The 18169-nt window shown below is 38.2% G+C and overlaps 2 protein-coding genes across 30 annotated transcripts in view, besides 2 other annotated features; both read right to left on the bottom strand.

The window, feature by feature from the left end:
* BCAP29 (B cell receptor associated protein 29) overlaps positions 1-17051 on the bottom strand; it is a 43311-nt gene extending 26260 nt beyond the window's left edge. For 10 of the 23 annotated variants that reach the window (NR_163926.1, NR_163934.1, NR_163929.1 and 7 more), the window contains exons 1-5: positions 16757-16812; positions 16194-16299; positions 13076-13176; positions 2953-3103; positions 1056-1191 (exon numbers count right to left, since the gene is read on the bottom strand). Coding sequence is in view for 9 of the 23 variants with exons in the window: in NM_001363482.1 (NP_001350411.1) it covers positions 1056-1191; positions 2953-3103; positions 13076-13176; positions 16194-16285 (480 nt within the window). In the remaining 14 variants the exon portion in view is untranslated. Of the gene's footprint in view, positions 1-1055; positions 1761-2952; positions 3104-13075; positions 13177-16193; positions 16300-16643; positions 16813-16987 lie in introns of those variants that run through there. The other 13 variants (NR_163928.1, NR_163937.1, NR_027830.2 and 10 more) reach the window with 10 other exon arrangements.
* Positions 1-18169, bottom strand: part of DUS4L-BCAP29 (DUS4L-BCAP29 readthrough) — a 59347-nt gene that overhangs the window by 26260 nt on the left and 14918 nt on the right. For all 7 annotated transcript variants that reach the window (NR_163940.2, NR_163939.2, NR_163941.2 and 4 more), the window contains 4 exons: positions 16194-16299; positions 13076-13176; positions 2953-3103; positions 1056-1191 (listed from right to left, as the gene is read on the bottom strand). Coding sequence is in view for 4 of the 7 variants with exons in the window: in NM_001371365.2 (NP_001358294.1) it covers positions 1056-1191; positions 2953-3103; positions 13076-13176; positions 16194-16299 (494 nt within the window). In the remaining 3 variants the exon portion in view is untranslated. The remainder of the gene's footprint in view (positions 1-1055; positions 1192-2952; positions 3104-13075; positions 13177-16193; positions 16300-18169) is intronic.
* Positions 16305-16374: an enhancer, noted in NCBI's record as "active region_26493". NCBI's record gives its function as "activates an Ori minimal core promoter by ATAC-STARR-seq in GM12878 lymphoblastoid cells {active_cell/tissue: GM12878}" and the evidence as "EXISTENCE:reporter gene assay evidence [ECO:0000049][PMID:35858748]".
* Positions 16465-16954: a silencer, noted in NCBI's record as "silent region_18540". NCBI's record gives its function as "represses an Ori minimal core promoter by ATAC-STARR-seq in GM12878 lymphoblastoid cells {active_cell/tissue: GM12878}" and the evidence as "EXISTENCE:reporter gene assay evidence [ECO:0000049][PMID:35858748]".

The raw sequence follows: 18169 nt of genomic DNA, 5'->3' as shown, positions 1-18169 counted from the left end.
AGACTTTCTCCCCACTGTGTACTGGCTTTAGCCCAGCATATCTGTGCCTCCTCTGATTGGGTCACAGCTATGCAGGAAGCAGCAAATCAGGACAGTATGGAAACAAAGGAGAGGAAAACAAACAAACAGAAAGAATAAATCACGCAGGGTCAAGGAATTGGTAATCATGACATAAGTTTCCTTGCATGGGTAAATGGTTCTGAAAACAATTCCAAGAGAAAAGTTGCAAAAGTATTTTGAGGAAGGTGCTTTTTTTAAAAGGGCAAGACTAATTTAAGTGTATTAAGTATGGTATGTATGAAAAAAATAACACTTTCCATTTTCTTAGAGCTAAAGAATAAGAGAAAAACAATTGAAGAGGAAAAAAAGCAGTGTTCTGATGGTTACAAATCATTACTCCAAAATGATGTGTATAATTTTAAATTAAGATATGTACATGATCAGTTGTTCTATAAATACAAGGCTGCGTGCTTTTGAGTTTAGTTAACACTATCAATCAAAGCTTTAATGACTGTGTTTTTATTTTTGCCACTGTGAAATGAGATCAAAAGATAGAAAATAAAGGAATAACATTAAAGATTTCAAATATTATGTGCAATTATCAATCTAGCATCAATGACGTTTCTCTGCTTTCTATAAACCAATCATTTAAAAGAAAACGAAAATCTAGGCTTAAAAATACTTTAACTGAAAAAGAAATAGAAACAGTTATAAAGACTTGCTTTAGATTATAAAGTAAACTTAACGGTAATGAAGGAATTAAAATTCATATTCCCAGAATACTATTTTCTCCTTAAATCACAGAAAATAGGTCCAATGGTATAAATCCACTATGGAGAAAAAGCAAATCTAAATAATAGTAAAAATATTAGTGTGAACAAGCATTTCTAAAGAACAGTAAAACTATTCTTGAAATAATCATTACATAAAATATTGTTAATTATGGTCATTTTCTGCTTATAAAATATAAAAATGCTCTTTTTGATGCTGAAAACAAATACATTACTCCTCGGGAACACCAACAACATTTAATTTTTACAAAGAAAATTAAATACCCTTTTTAGTTTTTCGTTTTCTTCCATAAATTTTTTGGCAGCCTTGTTAGTATTTTCTGCTTGAGTTTTAAGTACACCTTTGTTTGACAGTTCTTTTGCCAGTTGAGTAATAAGCGTAACCAGACGTCTCAAAACTCTAAGAAAAAAAACCAGAATAATGTATTACTGGCCAATCACCAGAAACTTATTTTAAAACAGTCATTGCCAAATTACTCCCCATTAGATATAGGTGTGGTGGTGGCAGATAATGTTTAGGCAGAACCCATTATTCTTTTTTTAATTCAAGTCTCTTAGTAAAAACAGGCCCGTGTCTCATTCCTTTGGAATCTTTGTTAGAAGACCAGCATTTAGAATACAGGTTCAGTGGTACTTATTTGTTTTCCTGTAGAAGGCTTTAGCTTGGAGGAATAGAAACAGGAAAATTTCAGACAGTGTGACAGGGCCAGTAGGAGAATTATTTTTTTTGGCCCAGTTCAAATTCTGCTATTTAAGGAACATTGTGTAAGGTCAAACAAGCCGAAGAACAGCTCATTCACATCCGTTTATGTGTAACTGCCATTGTTAGAAGAAATAGTGATGACTATCTTCAATTATTCATTCAGCAGACATTCCTTTACTCAGGAACTGCTAAGTGTTAAGACACTCTGCCAGGCACTGCAGACACAGCGGAAAACAGCAAAGTCCATGCCCTCAGGGGTTTAGCTCCTAGTTGTGGAAGCAAAAGTTAAAACAGTATTTAATTACAACCATGAATGACACTAGAAAATGAAGTATATATACATTCTTTGAGCACCTGTAAGAGAAGACCTACCTACTTTGTGGGTAGTGATGGCCACAGAAGGCTTTGAGAAAGAGGCTAATGGATGAGTAAGAGTTAGCCAGGAAATGAGGAAAGAAAAGAGTGTTCTGGCAAAAGGAAGAGCTTGTGTAAAGACCCTAAAATGGGAAAGAGTTAGGTACACCACAGAACTCAATCAATATCTGTTGCAAGATGGAATGAATGAATAAATGGTGAAGGTCTGTAAGGGTGGAATGTATTGTACATCTCAGAGACACGTATGAGACAAGGCTCCAAAGAGAGGCAGGAGCCTAATCATTCAGGGCCTTATGGACTGGGCAAACCTACAAGCTGTTAACTACTGTTTGTTATTTGGGTATATCATCTGAATTCTTTTACAAAGATGTTATAAAAAAATCTACAGGCCGGGCGCGTTGGCTCACATCTGTAATCCCAGCACTTTGGGAGGCCGAGGCGGGAGGATCATGAGGTCAGGAGATCGAGACCATCCTGGCTAACCCAGTGAAACCCTGTCTCTACTGAAAATACAAAAAAATTAGCAGGGCACAGTGGCAGGCGCCTGTACTCCCAGCTACTCAGGAGGCTGAGGCAGGAGAATGGTGTGAACCCAGGAGGTGGAGCTTGCAGTGAGCCGAGATCGCGCCACTGCACTCCAGTCTGGGCGACAAAGCGAGACTCCATCTTAAAAAACAAACAAACAAACAAACAAACAAAACTACAGTAGGCTGGGTACAGTGACTGTAATCTCCGTACTTTGGGAGGCTGAGGTGGGAGGATCACTTGAGGCCAGGAGTTTGAGACCAGTCTGGGCAACACAGTGAGACCCCATCTCTACAAAAAATTTAAAAATTAGCCCTACATGGTGGTGTGCCGCCTGTAGTCCTAGAAATGAGAGGTTGAAGAGGCAGGATCACTTGAACCCAGGAGTTTGAAGTTACAGTGAGCTATGAAGGCACCACTGCACTGCAGCCTGGGCAACAGAGCGAAAGGTTGTCTCTCTTAAAAAAAAAAAAAATCTACAGTAAAGGTGGACAAAATGAGAAAGGAAAGCATAAGTCATGTTTTTAAATTGTGCTTCTATTATTATTTTTTACTTACAGCCAAAAAAATAGGGAAAATCCAGAAATGTAAAGATTTCTTTGAGACCTAAAAAGTTTCATCTGTGTGTGTTCATAGGCATCAGGTCTGCTGGTGGAGCTCTTCTCAATGGTATGAACTGAGGAATATTTCCTTACTTCTCTCACAGCATCTATTACAGAACAAAAGAAAACAGTACTTTTGGCTTTTACGAATATAAGCTTGTTAAAAATGGAAAGCAGTTTTAGAAAAACTGACCAAACTTTTAAATAATGGACTTTAGGCAGAGGCGACCTTTATGTCATTCCGTCTACAGTACCCGGGAACTTTTCATGCTCAAAGTAGGTGCTCTATAAATGGACACTAGTAGCAAATTTTGAATTACTATAGCATTTTTAAAATTATTCATCTAGTACTTACCATCATTTTATTGTTTCTCATCTCTAACTACACTGCAAACTATTATCCTTTACATTTTCTGTCTCTAAGATGACTAAAATTCAGCCTATTGACAATGACAGATGTCATATCCCATTACAATCAATTCCAAGAGACTATCCCATTTCTCTTACTACACTAGCATTTTATTACATATTATTACTTTAAATGATTGAGATTTTCAAAATATTTGGTTATACTGAAATTTCCACTGGCATAAGTTTGTTAACATGGGATTTGATCTGTGGTGGCATACACTCCTCCGACTAGTGCATAGCAGCTGCTACTGGAAAGGTTCAGATAGCTGCTCCTTTGATGCTTTCAGTTCTGGGAAGTCTCAGATGCAGGGGAACCACTTCTTTCCAGTGGAAAATAGATATCAGCTTATAAGGGTCTACATTGAGTGCATTCTTAGTTCCTGGATTCTTGTATGTACTAGGGAAGGCATCTGCCTTATAAGGTCTCAAAAGCCAGTGGAAGTATATGAACAAGTTTGAATGCTCCCCTTTCATGCGACCAACAGAAGTCTTGGGTAAGAGTTATTGCCACACAAGGAGACTCCAGTTAGAAAACTGGGGCCTTTTTGACTACTATTTTATTTTTAGCAGCTTTATTGAGATGTAATTCACATACCATAAAAATTTACCTCTTTAAAATGTATAATTCAGTAGTTTTTAGTATATTCACAAAGTTGTATAACCATTACCACTATCTAATTTCAGAACATTTTGGTCACCCCACAAAGAAAATCTATACACATCCCTCAGCTCCTGGTGACCAGCAATCTGCTTTCTGTCTCTACAGAACTACCTGTTCTAGACATTTCATATAAACTGAATCATATACTATCTGCTCTTTTGTGTCTGGCTTCCTTCACTTAGCATAATGCTTTCAAAGTTCGTCTGCACTGTAGTATGTGTCAGTACTTCATTACTTTTATGGCTGAATAATATTCCATTGTATGAATGTGGTAACATTTGGTTTATCTATTCATTGGTTGATGGCATTGAGCTGTTTCCACCTTCCGGCTATTATGAATAACGCTGCTACGAACATTCATGTGCAAGTTTTATATCGACATGTGCTTTCATTTCTCTTGGTACATACCTAAGAGATGAACTGCTGGGCCATATGGTAACTCTATGTTTAATTTTTGAGGAACTGCCAAACTGTATTCCAAAGCAGCTGTACTACTTTACATTCCCACAAGCAGTGTATGTTGGTTCCAATTTCTCCATATCCTCAGCAACACTTGTTATTATATTTTTGATTATAGTCATCCTAGTGGGTGTAAAGTGGCATTTCTTTGTGGTTTTTATTTGCATTTCTCTGATAGCTAATGCTGTTGAACATCTTTTCATGTGCTTGTTGATCATTTGTATATCATCTTTGGAAAAATATCTATTCAGATCCTTTACCCATTTTTAAATTGGGTTATTTGCTTTATTTGTCTCCCAAATGTCTTTCATAGAATTTTTTTCAAACTGAGAATTTTATAATGGATACTCATTACATATAGTTATGTTTCTGTAGTCTCTTGACATATAATACTTTTTTAAAAAGGTGCCAGGCCAATTGTTTTCTAGAAAGTTCTCACATTCTGGCTGGGTGTGGTGGCTAACACCTGTAATCCCAGCACTTTGGGAGGCAGAGGCAGAAGGATAGCATGAGGCCAGGAGATGGAGACCAGCATGCGCAAAATGGCAAGACCCTGTCTCTTTTTTTAAATATTAAAAAAAAAATAAGCACAAAGAAAGTTCTCACATTCTGAATTTGTCTGAGTGTAGTCCAATTTCTTTCTCTAACTCCTGTATTTTTAGAAAACCAGAAGTCAGACTTGATTGGTTCTGCCAGGCCTCAGAAAGTAAAAATAAAATAAAACAAATACTTGATTGGATAAGGTTTAATACTTTTGGCAAGAATCCCTCATAGTTTATGCTGTGTAATGTTAGTTTGTCTCATACTTTTTGATGCTAAATTTGATTACTTAGTTAAGATGTAAGGGTTCTCCAGGGAAAAAGAACCAATAGGGTGTGTGTGTGTGTGTATGTGTGTATGGGGAAAAGTGGTACAGGGGGCAGACAGAGAGAGAAAGAGAGAGAGAGAGCTCGAGATTTATTTTAAGGAACTGGCTCATATGCTCGTAGAGGCTTGTTAAGTTTAAAATCTGGAGGGTAGACTGGCAGTCTGGAGATCCAGGGAAGAAATACATCTTGAGTCCAAAGGCAACCTGCGGTCAAAATTCCTTTTTGCTCAGAGGAGGTCAATCTTTGTTCTATTAAGGCTTTCAGCTGATTAGATAAAGCCCACTAACCTGTTTTTATTTTCCCCTTTACTGTTGAAATCTGGTAGTGTGAGTCTCCCAATTTTGTTATTTGTAAAGATTTTTTGACTGTTTTATGAGTTCTTTGCATGTCTGCATAAATTTTAGAAGCAACTGATCAACTGCTACAAAAATGCCTGTTGGGTTTCTGACAGGGACTGTGTTATGTCCGTAGAATTTTGGAAGAACAAACATTTTAATAATATTGAGTATTCCAACTGATGAAAAATCCCCATTTATTTTGATTTTCTTTCAGCAATGTTTTTGTAGTTTTCTGTATAGAGCTGTTGTGCCTCTTTTATAAAGTTTATTTCTAAGGTTTTTAGGCTTCTTGGTGTACTTAGAAAAGGAATTTTTAAAAATGTCATTTGCCTATTGTTTACTGCTTATAGTATAGAAATACAATTACTGATACACTGAATTTTTGTATACTGACCCACCTGTATTTTGTGACCCCACTATATTAATTTCTTTGACATAATAACTTTCTTGTAGATACTTTAGGATTATTTCTTTCTTTCTTTCTTTCTTTTTTTTTTTTTTTTCTGAGACAGGGTCTCGCTTTGTCACCCAGGCTGGAGTGCAGTGATGTGATCACGTCTCACTGCAGCCTTGACCTCTTGGGCTCAAGCAACTCTCCCACCTCAGCCTTTTGAGTAGCTGGGACTACAAGCATGAGCCACCATGCCTGGCTAATTTTTGTACTTTCTGGTAGAGACGGGGTTTAGCCATGTTGCCCAGGATGGTCTGCAACTCCTGAGCTTGAGCAATCTGCCCAACTCAGCCTCCTAAAGTGGTGGGATTACAGGAGTGAGCCACTGTGCCAGGCCAGGATTTTCTATATAAATAATCGTGTCATCTGCAAATAAGGATATTTTACTTCTTTCTTTGCAATCTTTAAGCCTTTCATTTCTTTCATGACTTATTATTACCCTGGCTAGGACATCTATTACTCAAATGAATAAACAGAGTGTAAATATCCTTGCCTTGTTTCCAATCTTATGGGGGAAGACTTTGATATTTAAGTATGATGCTAGCTTGAGGTTTTTTGTAGCTCTTCATCAGAATGAGAAATCTTCCTTCTAAATCTTTAAAAAACAACTGAGTGAATATTATTTTTTTCACTGTCAATATTCAATATAATGGGTAGATATTATTAAGGTGGAAACTAAAATCACCGATTTTAAATCTTTTTTAAAAATAAATATTCAAATCTATAATTTTTCCTTTAAGCAGTGCTTTAATGGCATCTTAAAATTTTAATATATTGTATTTTCATTATTGTTCAGTTAAAATATTTTCTAATTTCCTTTGTGAGTTCTTTGACCCAAGGATTACTAACAAGTCTTGTTTAATTTTCAAACATGTATAGGTTTTCCAGATTTCTGTTACTGATTTCTATTTTCATACTCTGTAGGGGCTGGGCACAGTAGCTCTCATCTGTAATCCCAGCATTTTGGGAACAGGAAGGATCACTTGAGGCCAGGAGTTTGAGACCAGCCTGGGCAACAAAGCGAAAGTCTGTCTCTATAAAACAACAAAAACAAAACCCCCATACTCTATATGATTCCAATCCTTGGTAGGACTTCAATCCTTTGTATTTATTGAGACTTGTTTTATGGCCCAGAATATAGTGTATCTTGGTGAAGAGAGTTTAGTATATTCATGTGCCCTTGCAAAGATTATGTACAGCAGGGGTCCCCAACACCTGGAGCCATGCACCTGTACTGCTCCACGGCCTGTCAGGAATTGGGCTGCACAGCAGGAGGTGATTGGCAGGCCAGTGAGCAAAGCTTCATCTGTATTTACAGCCACTCCTTATCGCTCACATTACTGCCCAAGCTATCAGATCAGTGGTGGCATTAGATTCTCATAGGAGTGGAAGCCCTTTTGTGAACTGCGCGTGCAAGGGATCTAGGTTGCATGCTTCTTATGAGAATCTAATGCCTGATGATCTGCCACCATCTCCCATCATCCCCAGATGAGAATGTCCAGTTGTAGGAAACAAGCTCAGGGCTCCCAGTGATTCTACATTACGGTGAGTTGCATAATTATTTCATTATATATTACAATGTAATAATAATAGAAATGAAGTGCATATAAATTTAATGTGCTTGAATCATCCCGAAACCATCCCCTGCTCCTGCATATGGAAAAACTGTCTTCCATGAAGCTGGTCCCTGGTGCCAAAAAGGGTGGGGACTGCTGATGTACAGTTTACAGCTGTTTAGAGAGGCTTGATTTTTATACTTTTTTAGGGTAAGTCTATTTTGCTTTAGGCCTTAGTTATAGTAAATTTCTAATTCCTGGGATATAGTCTCTATTCCTAAGGAGTAGCCCTTCTGTGATTTTAGTGGAAAGGTTCAAGGTCTTTACCAAGCCCCTCTAACGTGATGAGGCTCATACTCCAAACTCTGTCTCTCCTTGGTGGCCAGCAGCCAAAATTTCTTCTCAGCCTTGCTGCTTTTTGCTGGCTGTTCCTTTTCATTGATTTCCTTGGAATCTTTCCTACACATCCATGGTTGAAGAGTCAACCAAGAATTTAAGGGGAGTTTACATGTGGATTTTGGGGTTCCCTTTTTGGGTTCTCTCCTTTCTTAGACATCCTTCTTATTTTTGAATCTATCTGACCTCTGACCCCTTAAGTCAGTTAAGACTGTCTTTTTGCTTTGAGTTCTATATCGTTGTCTATGCCACATGACTGGAAAGCGGTTGGAAGAAAGGCTATATAAATGTGATCACACCCAGTATGATTCCCTTCTTTTAAGGGTTGACGTCCCTCTAGTTTCTGCCTGCTTTTGGTTGCTCTACAAGGCCTTCAAATACCTTTTTTCGTATTTTATCGAGGGTTCATAATTTTTAACACAGGAGAAATAGTCTAATACAACCCGTTTTGCTATGAACAAAGCCAGACTCCTATGTCTTTAACAAAATTGTTTTAATTTATTGAGGCAAAATTCATATAACATAAAAGTAAACACTTTAAAGTGAACAATTCAGTCATGCTTAGTATATTCACAATGCTGTGCAACTACCACCTCTATCTAGTTCCACATTTCCATACTCCAAAATAAAACCCAAATAAATCACTCTAAAACTTAAAAAATCCTTAATTTTTGACTTTATATTTGTATGCCATATCTATTCCTGAAAGTCTTAGTTTCTAATACCATGAACATACTAATTTGCTTGATGCTGCACTATACATAAAACAGCTTTTAAATTACCAACAATAAAACTATTATAAAGTTTCAGATTTCATTGTAATCCTCTTGGTTCTTAAAATGTACCCTACCAGCGAGGTAAAAAGTTAAGAGTACTATGTTCAAGAGTAATTATTTTTCTCTGTGTTATATATTGCAATCTGATGTACTATTCAGTTCATTTGTTCTGACTTATTTTCAATTCTACAGCTTGCTTTTTTCTAGCTCTGTACAATTTGAAGTTTAAATTCTAGAACAGTTTAAGAAGCAGTAGTAATATCTGTTTTCTGAAAGCAGTAGGGTTTCTTATAAAACTATCTGGTTTTTTGCTTTTTTTTTCAAATAGGGGTCCTTTTTGATAACTTTCTATAATTTTTCTATATAAATTAGTCTGCTTAAATTTTCTATATCTACTGGTGTTCATTTGGTAAATCATATTTTTCTACAAAATTATACATTTTATCTAGGTTTTCCAATTTATTTGCATAGTTATATAAAGTAGTCTCTTAAATGATCTTTAGAAAATTTCCTGTATCTTAATGGCTATTTCCCCTTTGTCATTTCTCAGATTGCCTCAATAATATAGTAAGAGCATGCCAACCACTACCAAAAAACCAACAAAGATAATATATATTTACGACTTATTTTAAATAGGCAAATAGTGAGTACTATGAAGGATCATTATGCTTCGTGATTCATCTTCCTTGGTAATTAAATGGGAATAATACTCCTGAATCCATTATGCAGAAAAGCTGAAGATTAACCAATAATATTAAAAAGGTTTATTAATGTCAATGGTCATGTAAACATACCTGTAGAATACATCACCTGTATACTAAAAAGGTAACTATGTCTGAAAAATGGAATGGAGTCAACAATAAGGGAAGGATGTGACATATAGTCAATTTTCTATAAACCACCTGAAGATGATCCAATTTTAGATCAGTTATGGAAACTTTCAAATTCCTGGGATGCATTTCTGCTAACACTAAACACACTCTTGAAATTCCCACTTCCATTCTGTCTCTTACCAGCACCTAAAATACACACACATGCACACACACTTGTATGCACACACTCAGTTAGTGTTGGCTCTAAGAATACAAACACTTCTTAATAGCTACCTTATTTTGGCTGGGTGCAGTGGCTCATGCCTGTAATCCCAGCACTTTGGGAAGCCGAAGTGGGCGGATCGCTTTGAGCTCAGGAGTTTGGGACCAGCCTGGGAAACATGACAAAACCCTGTCTCTATTAAAAAAAACAAAAATTAGCCAGGGGTTGGTGGCTCTCGCCTGTAGTCCCAGCTACTTGGGAGGCTGCAGCTGGAGAATTACTTGAGCCTGGAAAGTGGAGGTTGCAGTGAGCTGAGATCGCACCACTGCATTTCAGCCTTGGTGACAGAGTGAGACCCCGTCACAAAAAAAAAAAAAAAAAGAATAAATACATATAAAAAGAAAATGTATAAAAAAGTTACCTTATTTAGAGAGATAACCAAGAAAAAGGAAATAAATTTCCAAGTAAAATATAAATTAAGCATGAGTAATCCACTGGTTTTGCATTATTTACATCGTTGTGGACTCGAACATCAGACTCTGCACTTTACATATGTTACTGCGTTTAAATCTTAAAACACGAAAGTAGGTGTCATTACTCCATTTTGGATGGAGACCTAGAGGATAAGCACCTATCTGGTTGCCTTAACTATCCATGATGTCCTTGTTCTCTGGGAATTAATTGCCCTGTTTACCCAAAGATGCAGGCTTCAGCCAGCAGTCATGATTCTCCCTTGTGACCTTCCTGGTTATAGGAGATGAGGAGTAGATAACTGGTACTAGCTGGTCCAATTTTTTTTCCTTTGATGTGGAATTGGGATTCAGAGATGATGAATTAACCCTTGCATACGTCTGGAATGGGTACCACACCTGGCAGCTGTGTGGTACCCATTTACTGCCTTGGAGATAGACAGAATATCAGAGTCCATAATAAAAAAGAATGAAGTATATATAGGAAAAATGTATATGGCCAAGAAAAGGACATTTCAGTTCCAAGTACTAATCCCTCCCTGGAATTTGGCTTCCTTCCTTTCTTGGGCTACTCTGCAACAGCCCCGTATTTTATTACAAATTTTTCCTTTTTTAGTCAAGCGAGTTCAAGTTGGTTTCTTTTTTTTTGAGACGGAGTTTCACTCTTGTCACCCAGGCTGCAGTGCAATGGCGCGATCTCGGCTCACTGCAACCTCTGCCTCTCGGGTGCAAACAATTCTCCTGCCTCAGTTTCCTGAGTAGCTGGGATTACAGGCACGCGCCCCCATGCCCGGCTAATTTTTGTATTTTTGGTAGAGACAGGGTTTCACCACGTTGGCCAAGCTGGTCTGGAATTCCTGACCTTAGGTTGATCCACCTGCCTTGGTCTTTCGAAGTGCTGAGATTACAGAGGTGAGCCGCCGCGCCCGGCCAAGTTTGTTTCTAATGTAACCAAAAGAACTTATACTACAACTCCCCTCCCTTACATGATAAGTGACAGTTTTCAATAGAAATTTTTGTGATAATTTTAGAGTTAGAAGATCATAAAATCAGGAGCTGCAGAGATTCTTTCCATCTCTCCCTTTATTTCACAAGATGAATAAATCAAACCCAGGAAATAAAAGCCATTTCAAAGGTCCTTTAGTTAGCTGGTGGCAGAACTGGAACCGGTTTTCCTTATTGTTCTTTACTGACTTCTCATAACTAGTTATATGGCTAGAGATTCAATCCATAACATTAATAATGTACCATGAGACAAATATTTACATCTTGAAAAGAGGCACAAATCATTCACACCTTTCTGTTTTTGACAATACCATCCCTTCTCATACCAGATGTTCTTAGTTTTATAAAGAGGATTCTATTTGAGAGATTGGTGGTTTGGAACATGGAAGACATTTTCTCACAAAACAGTGTCAAAGATGGCGGTTAGGGTCCCAAGTTCGCCTCTCTAAATCCTATTTAACCAACAACACAACAACTCTGAGGGAATTCTGAGGGAAAACATACTCTGTGCAAGAAGGGGCATTTCAAGAAGTAGCTAGATAATCTTAGACAAGTCACTCAATTTCTCTGAGCTCAGTAACAACTGGAAAAACATGGTGATTACTAAGACTCATGGAACTTCTGGTTTGACAAGAACCTAAAGGTCTACTTTTAATTTTTAAAATACTGTTACCATGAAAATTTAAAACATGCTGAAAAACGAGTACAGACATTATGTAAACAAATGGGCATGGTCATTTCCCAATAAAACTTTATTTACAAAAATAGGTATTTGGCCCACAGGCTATATAGGTTGCTGACCCTGCTATGTAACAATGCTGTTATCACAACTAAAGTTAACAAAAATTCCCTAATATTATACAATCACTCCATATTCAAATTTTTGCGGTAGTCCCCAAATCTATGTTGCAGTTTTGTTTGTTTGTTTGTTTTTTTAAGGAAGGATCTTGCTCTGTTGCTCAGGCTGGAGTGCAATAGTTCACTGCAAACTTGAACTTCTGGGCTCAGGCAATCCTCCAGTCTCTCAGCCTCCCGAGTAGCTGGGACTATGGGTGCACATCACCACACCTGGCTAATTTTTACATTTTTGTAAAGATAAGGTTTTGCTATGTTGCCCAGGCTAGTCTCAAACTCCTGGACTCAGGCAATCCTCCCGCCTTGGCCTCCCAAAGTGCTAGGATTACAGGCCTGAGCCACCTCGCCCGGCCATGTTTATTTTTTAATCCAGTCCAAATGCACACCCTGCATCTAAGACTCCTTTGGAGAGCCTAATGATTCTATTCTTTTATTTGCCTTTCTAACAGCTAAGCTCCTGGGTGCCTAGGACATCACAGTAACAAAGGAGAGACAACACCATGAAAAATAAAGTCTGGTAACTCTGAACAGCAAGGTATGCATTAATATACAGCATTTAAATCTTAAAATAACCTAGAAGGGGTTAAGAATCATTGTGCCCTGTTGAAACTTAAGCTTGAACATACAGAATGGTAGTATCTATCAACTGTGTATCAATAGATCAGTATCCACTCTATGTACTATCAATATACTATATAAAGTCAACTGTACACCAATTGTAACATCAACTCTATTAATTAAAAAGAAATTCATTTAAAAAAAGTTATATTTATTCAAAGAAGGGATCTAGTACTTACCTAGAAATAGAACAATCAATAGGATGATAATGGTAAGGAAAGCCTTGTTCCAAAAAGTTGCAATTTTACCCCAGACATTAAATGAAAAAATCTTCTGCCATCTGTAAAGCAATACAATTATATTAGGTATAAAAAAACTAAAATAAAGTTTTGAAATACTTTTTAAATACTGAAGTAACATTTTAGTAATTGTGTAGCAAGTGAAAATTACAGAAATTTAATTTTAAAATTTATTAATTCTGACATGACAGAATATCTCATGAATTAAAAAACAACTCTTTCAAATTTAATAATAACCTGATATTTGATTATCCTCTGTCTGGTGGCTTAAATATTCTAAAAGTAAACCATACATGAGCAAAACCTTAAAAAGGAATTCTTGCAGTAGTAAAATATTATATTGTTGATAGAAGCTACTACTCTGTATCTTTTTCATGGTCAGAGAAATGACTTAGAAATAAAGATATATTGTTCTAACAATTGGCAACATTTCAGGAGTGGGGTCTAACTCTGCATACTGATTTTTATATAGTACAATTTTAACGTATACTCCAACTAAAAGTTTCTCTACTTTAACCATGAGGGAATTATAAAAACTACCCAGGTATTATACACATAAATTGAAAAAATCTTAAATATGTAGCTTGATAATTTTCACACACACACTATATATATATATATAAAACCATGTAATTACTACAGATAAAGATGTGAACATAGAGGAAATGAGATGGGGAAATAGTCTAGGTGGATTGAACAGTATAAACAAAGACAGTGGTAAGAAAGCATGGGTTATAAATGGCAAAGTGGCAAAATAATCCATCACGCAATAGGAAAGGTAACAAACTTTGTACAAGGGCAATTTAAATGAGTAACACTTTAGTTGAAAGGAGGCAGAAAAATGTAGTAAGCACTTAAATAGCTTCAAGCACTTACAACTTGAAAAAAACAGTTTCACTTTAAGATTAGGACACATTTAAGATTTAAGATTAGGACAACTTCAAGTAACTACTTGAAATTGGTGGGTTGAGGGAGATTCATACAGATGAATCGGTTCATTTTGTCTCTGCTTCCAAGTCCAAGCATTTTATACAGCCAATATTTAAATTATGCAATATAAAATTTTATATTTTTAAGAGAACATAAGTGGTAATACCTTGATCTAGGTCCAAATGTAAATTTACTTATTTCTTCAAGGTTTGGTGTGGTGTAAAAGGGAATGTAAGAGATCTCTCATAGGGAACAACTAGCAGTTGAGCACCTTATCATAGCTAATACCTATTGTGTTCTCACTATATTATGGTTCTAAGTACTTTTACATGTTTTATCTCATTTAATTACAACAACTACCGTAAGGGGTAGACACTAGTACTACCTCCATTTTACAGATGGGGAAACAGATCAGAGAGGATCAAGAGCATGCCCAAGGTTAGTAACATGCAGTTATAGGTGACCTGATTTCTGAGCATGTGCCTTTAACCACTGGGTTATGTAAGAAAATAATAGAGACTAAATGATGAAATATTTTCTTTAAAGATTATGGTGATACAAATATAAAAGATAAAAAGATGTGGATACACACATAGGACATATTGTAAATGATCTGCGTGCATACATACCGTATTTTCTTTATATCTGTACATGAGAACACATTTATATATCATATGCAAATATACACACATCTATCTAATAGCTACTTGATCAGGATGGGTAAAATTTTTATTTGGCAGGAAGAAAAATATTGATCCATAAGTTACAGATCACTCTGATGGAGTAAAGATCAACTGACAATTTTTCCTTCTTTGCAAACCCTTAAGCCTTATCTATAAATTAGATGTTTATATACAAAATCTTTCTTTCTCTTGAGTATATAGGATTCTATCATTGCAAATATTACCAAAAAGCAAAACAGGGTGTTACTGAGTTTGAAACAAAACCTACAGGATGAGAGGCAGCATGATGGAGTAGAAAGAACACTGGACTAAGAGCCAGATTTTTTTCTAGAATCTGTCACTTACCAGCTAGGTAACCGTAGGCTACTTGCCCTCCTGGGTCTCAGTACGTGATATATAGAACATGGGTGGAATGGATCAAATAAGATCAAAGACCCTACAGTATGATTCAATTTTTTTTCTTTAGTAAGAAACAACTTACTGAGCTTAGCTTAGCTGATAGAGAAGGACAGAAGAGAGCAGAAATCCAGGCAGGTAAGGAGCAAGTTAGGAGTTGTGAAAGACTATCTGGACCCTGAGCTAAGGTGAAACTTTAAGAAGTTTCTCCCAGTCCTGGGATTTTAATACACTTTAGTGGGTTATCTCTAGGATCTCACTTATGAAATACTTTCTTTTATGCCAGGAGTATGAACAAATATCTTGCAATATTTTTATTACATGTGTATTTCCCCATTCATACTATCAAATTTCTGGATCTAAAATTAAACGACTAAAAAGTAGATTACTGCAAGGGTAAAATGAACCACTGCTTGGCTTGAAACACTGTACTTGGTTCTTCAAGACCTTAGAAGTTCCGTCACTAACGAACTAATGCTAATACATGGTTGTGATACTTTTCACATTCAGCACTTTTAATATACATTCATTAATTTTATGTGAAATCAAAAGTAGTAAAATTGTCATTAATGAAACTAACGGTTACAAAGGCGAAAACTAAGAATAATTTATTGGCTTTGGTTTCTAAATTGCTGTTCCAGTGCCTCAGTGAAACACTTTTACACCCATGCTGTACTGTAAACATGATTTATCCACTTATATTTATTTAGTTCATGGCTCCAATTCAGGGCAATAAAACAAAGGTAAAACCTGAGACAAGGCAGGGCAGGTGTTAAAAGTATAATCGTTGCTTTATTATATCTGTAATCAACAGAATCAAAAGTATAGGCGCCTTTTCTTTTAGAAGGGAAGAAAAAGTTATTTCACTTGTACACGTAACAGAGTTTTATATAAAATGTTATTTTAATATTGTCATTATATACTACCTAATTCGTTAGGTGAGTTTATTTTCAAAGACTTTCGAAACTTTTTAATGTTCAGAAAACTTTTTCCATTTTACATTAAGAGCGATCCAATATTTATTAGTTAACGATTTGAAGGTTTCCTACCTCTGAGGAGGAATAAAAGGTAGGCAGAAGATTAAAATGAGTCCTATTTCGGCATAAAGAAAGGTTGCCACTGCAGCCCATTGGAGTGTCATTTTTTTCTTCACACCTAAATGGAAAAACACTTATTTTCTCTTGCTTCCTTTCAAACAAAACCGGGTTCAAGGCCCCGAGGCGCAGCGTTTTTGTCCAGGGGATGGACAGTGTTCCACCTTCCCCCACCTGGGAAGGCAAGCACGGACCCCGGTCAGGAAGGGGAAAAGGGTGGCCCGGGAAGCGGGTGTCGCCACCTCCCTGGGAGTCGTGGGAACTGGCGAGGCGGCTCGCTGGCCACTGCCTTTTCCGCCAGCTTCGCGGCGACAGAAGCCCAACGCCTCCCTCCACCAACGCCCGGCTTCCCGGCCCTCCCGCTCCCAGAAGGCGCCGCGGGCCCTCGACCACCGCGCCGCGGACCGGGCCGGGCCGGGTCGGGCCAGGCCAGCTCCGCGGGGTTCTCCAGACCAGGCAGCGGCGCTCTCCCTCCGCGGCCTACGCCCCACGGGTCCCCGGGTCGCAGAAGCCCTTACCCGCCGGCAGCCCGCCTGGCTCCCTGCGCTGCTCCGCGGCCGCCGACGCGCGGGACGTCAGACGCCGCGGCTGGGCGGGGGAGGGGAGCCAGGGCCCCACCCCGCCTCACGCCCCGCAGGCTCCCGCCCGCGGGTCCGTCCCGGCTGAGGTCACAGGCGGCGCGACCACGTTTATTGGCAACAGTTGTTTTCTAATTGGCGGCAGGTCAGAGAATGAGTTAGACTTTTGACCTGATGCTTGGAGGTCGGAGCGCAACTTCTTCAGGAGGACAGACTTTCCACTGCTAAGTGCGGCCCCGGCGGGAGGGTGCCGGGGTCCAGGTCTAAGGAGCGGCGCCGGGCGGCGGGGCTGGATTGGGTGGTGCAAATTCAGCGAACGCGCTTAAGACGCACTCCTTTCCGGTCACCTACTCTCTCTTCATGGTGGGAACTGTTTGTGTCCAGAATTAAGCTATATTTAATAAAGGGCCAGGATGAGGTGGTCGTGCAGCATTTTGTTCTGGAGAACCTAGGATCAACTGTATGTCACAACATATTCCGTAGGCGTTCCCGTTCCCGTCCATGGGCTGGGAAGAGACAGTAAACTTTACCGTGATGTTTGGGGACTGGTACGAAAGGTGGGTATGGGGATATTCTTTCACTATTTTCCAGCTTTTCAAACTGTGCGTGTACATTTAAGTTGTTGAGTTTTTTCAATATTGACAACGTATCAGGAATTTAATAAAAGTACTATCCTGGTAACAATTATTTGGGGAATAGTAAATAAATGTTGAAAATTGATAATTATAGAATATAAAACATTCAAAAACACATTTAAGTTGGTGCTTTTTCTTAATTTATCACTAATATTCTGGATCACATGTAACAGAAAAAATAGAAAAATAGACTTTGAACATAAATTAACCATAAGGAAGATTTTTTTTTTTTTTTTGAGATGGAGTCTCCCAATGTCGCCCAGGCTGGATTGTGGTGGTGCGATCTCGGCTCACTGTAGCCTCTGCCTCCCAGGTTCAAGTGATTCTCTGGCCCCAGTCTCCAGAGTGGCTGGGATTACAGGCGCCTGCCACCATGCCTAGCTAATTGTTGTATTTTTAGCAGAGACAGGGTTTCACCATGTTGGCCAGGCTGGTCTCGAACTCCTGGACTCAAGTGATCTGCCTGCCTTGGCCTCCCAAACTGTTGGGATTACAGGTGTGAGCCACCGCGCCTAGCCAGGAAGTTACTTTTTTTTTTTTTTTTTTGAGACAGAGTCTTGCTCTGTTGCCCAGGCAGGAGTGCAGTGGCGCAATCTCAGCTCACTGCAAGCTCCACCTCCCAGGTTCACACCATTCTCCTGCCTCAGCCTCCTGAGTAGCTGGGACTATAGGCGCCCGCCACCACGCCCAGCTAATTTTTGTATTTTTAGTAGAGACG

The sequence above is a fragment of the Homo sapiens genome, chromosome 7 (genome assembly GCF_000001405.40).
Source record: "Homo sapiens chromosome 7, GRCh38.p14 Primary Assembly".
Lineage (NCBI taxonomy): Eukaryota > Metazoa > Chordata > Mammalia > Primates > Hominidae > Homo > Homo sapiens.
The sequence above is the reverse complement of the archived record's forward strand: the minus strand, read 5'-3'. Positions and strand labels throughout refer to the sequence as shown.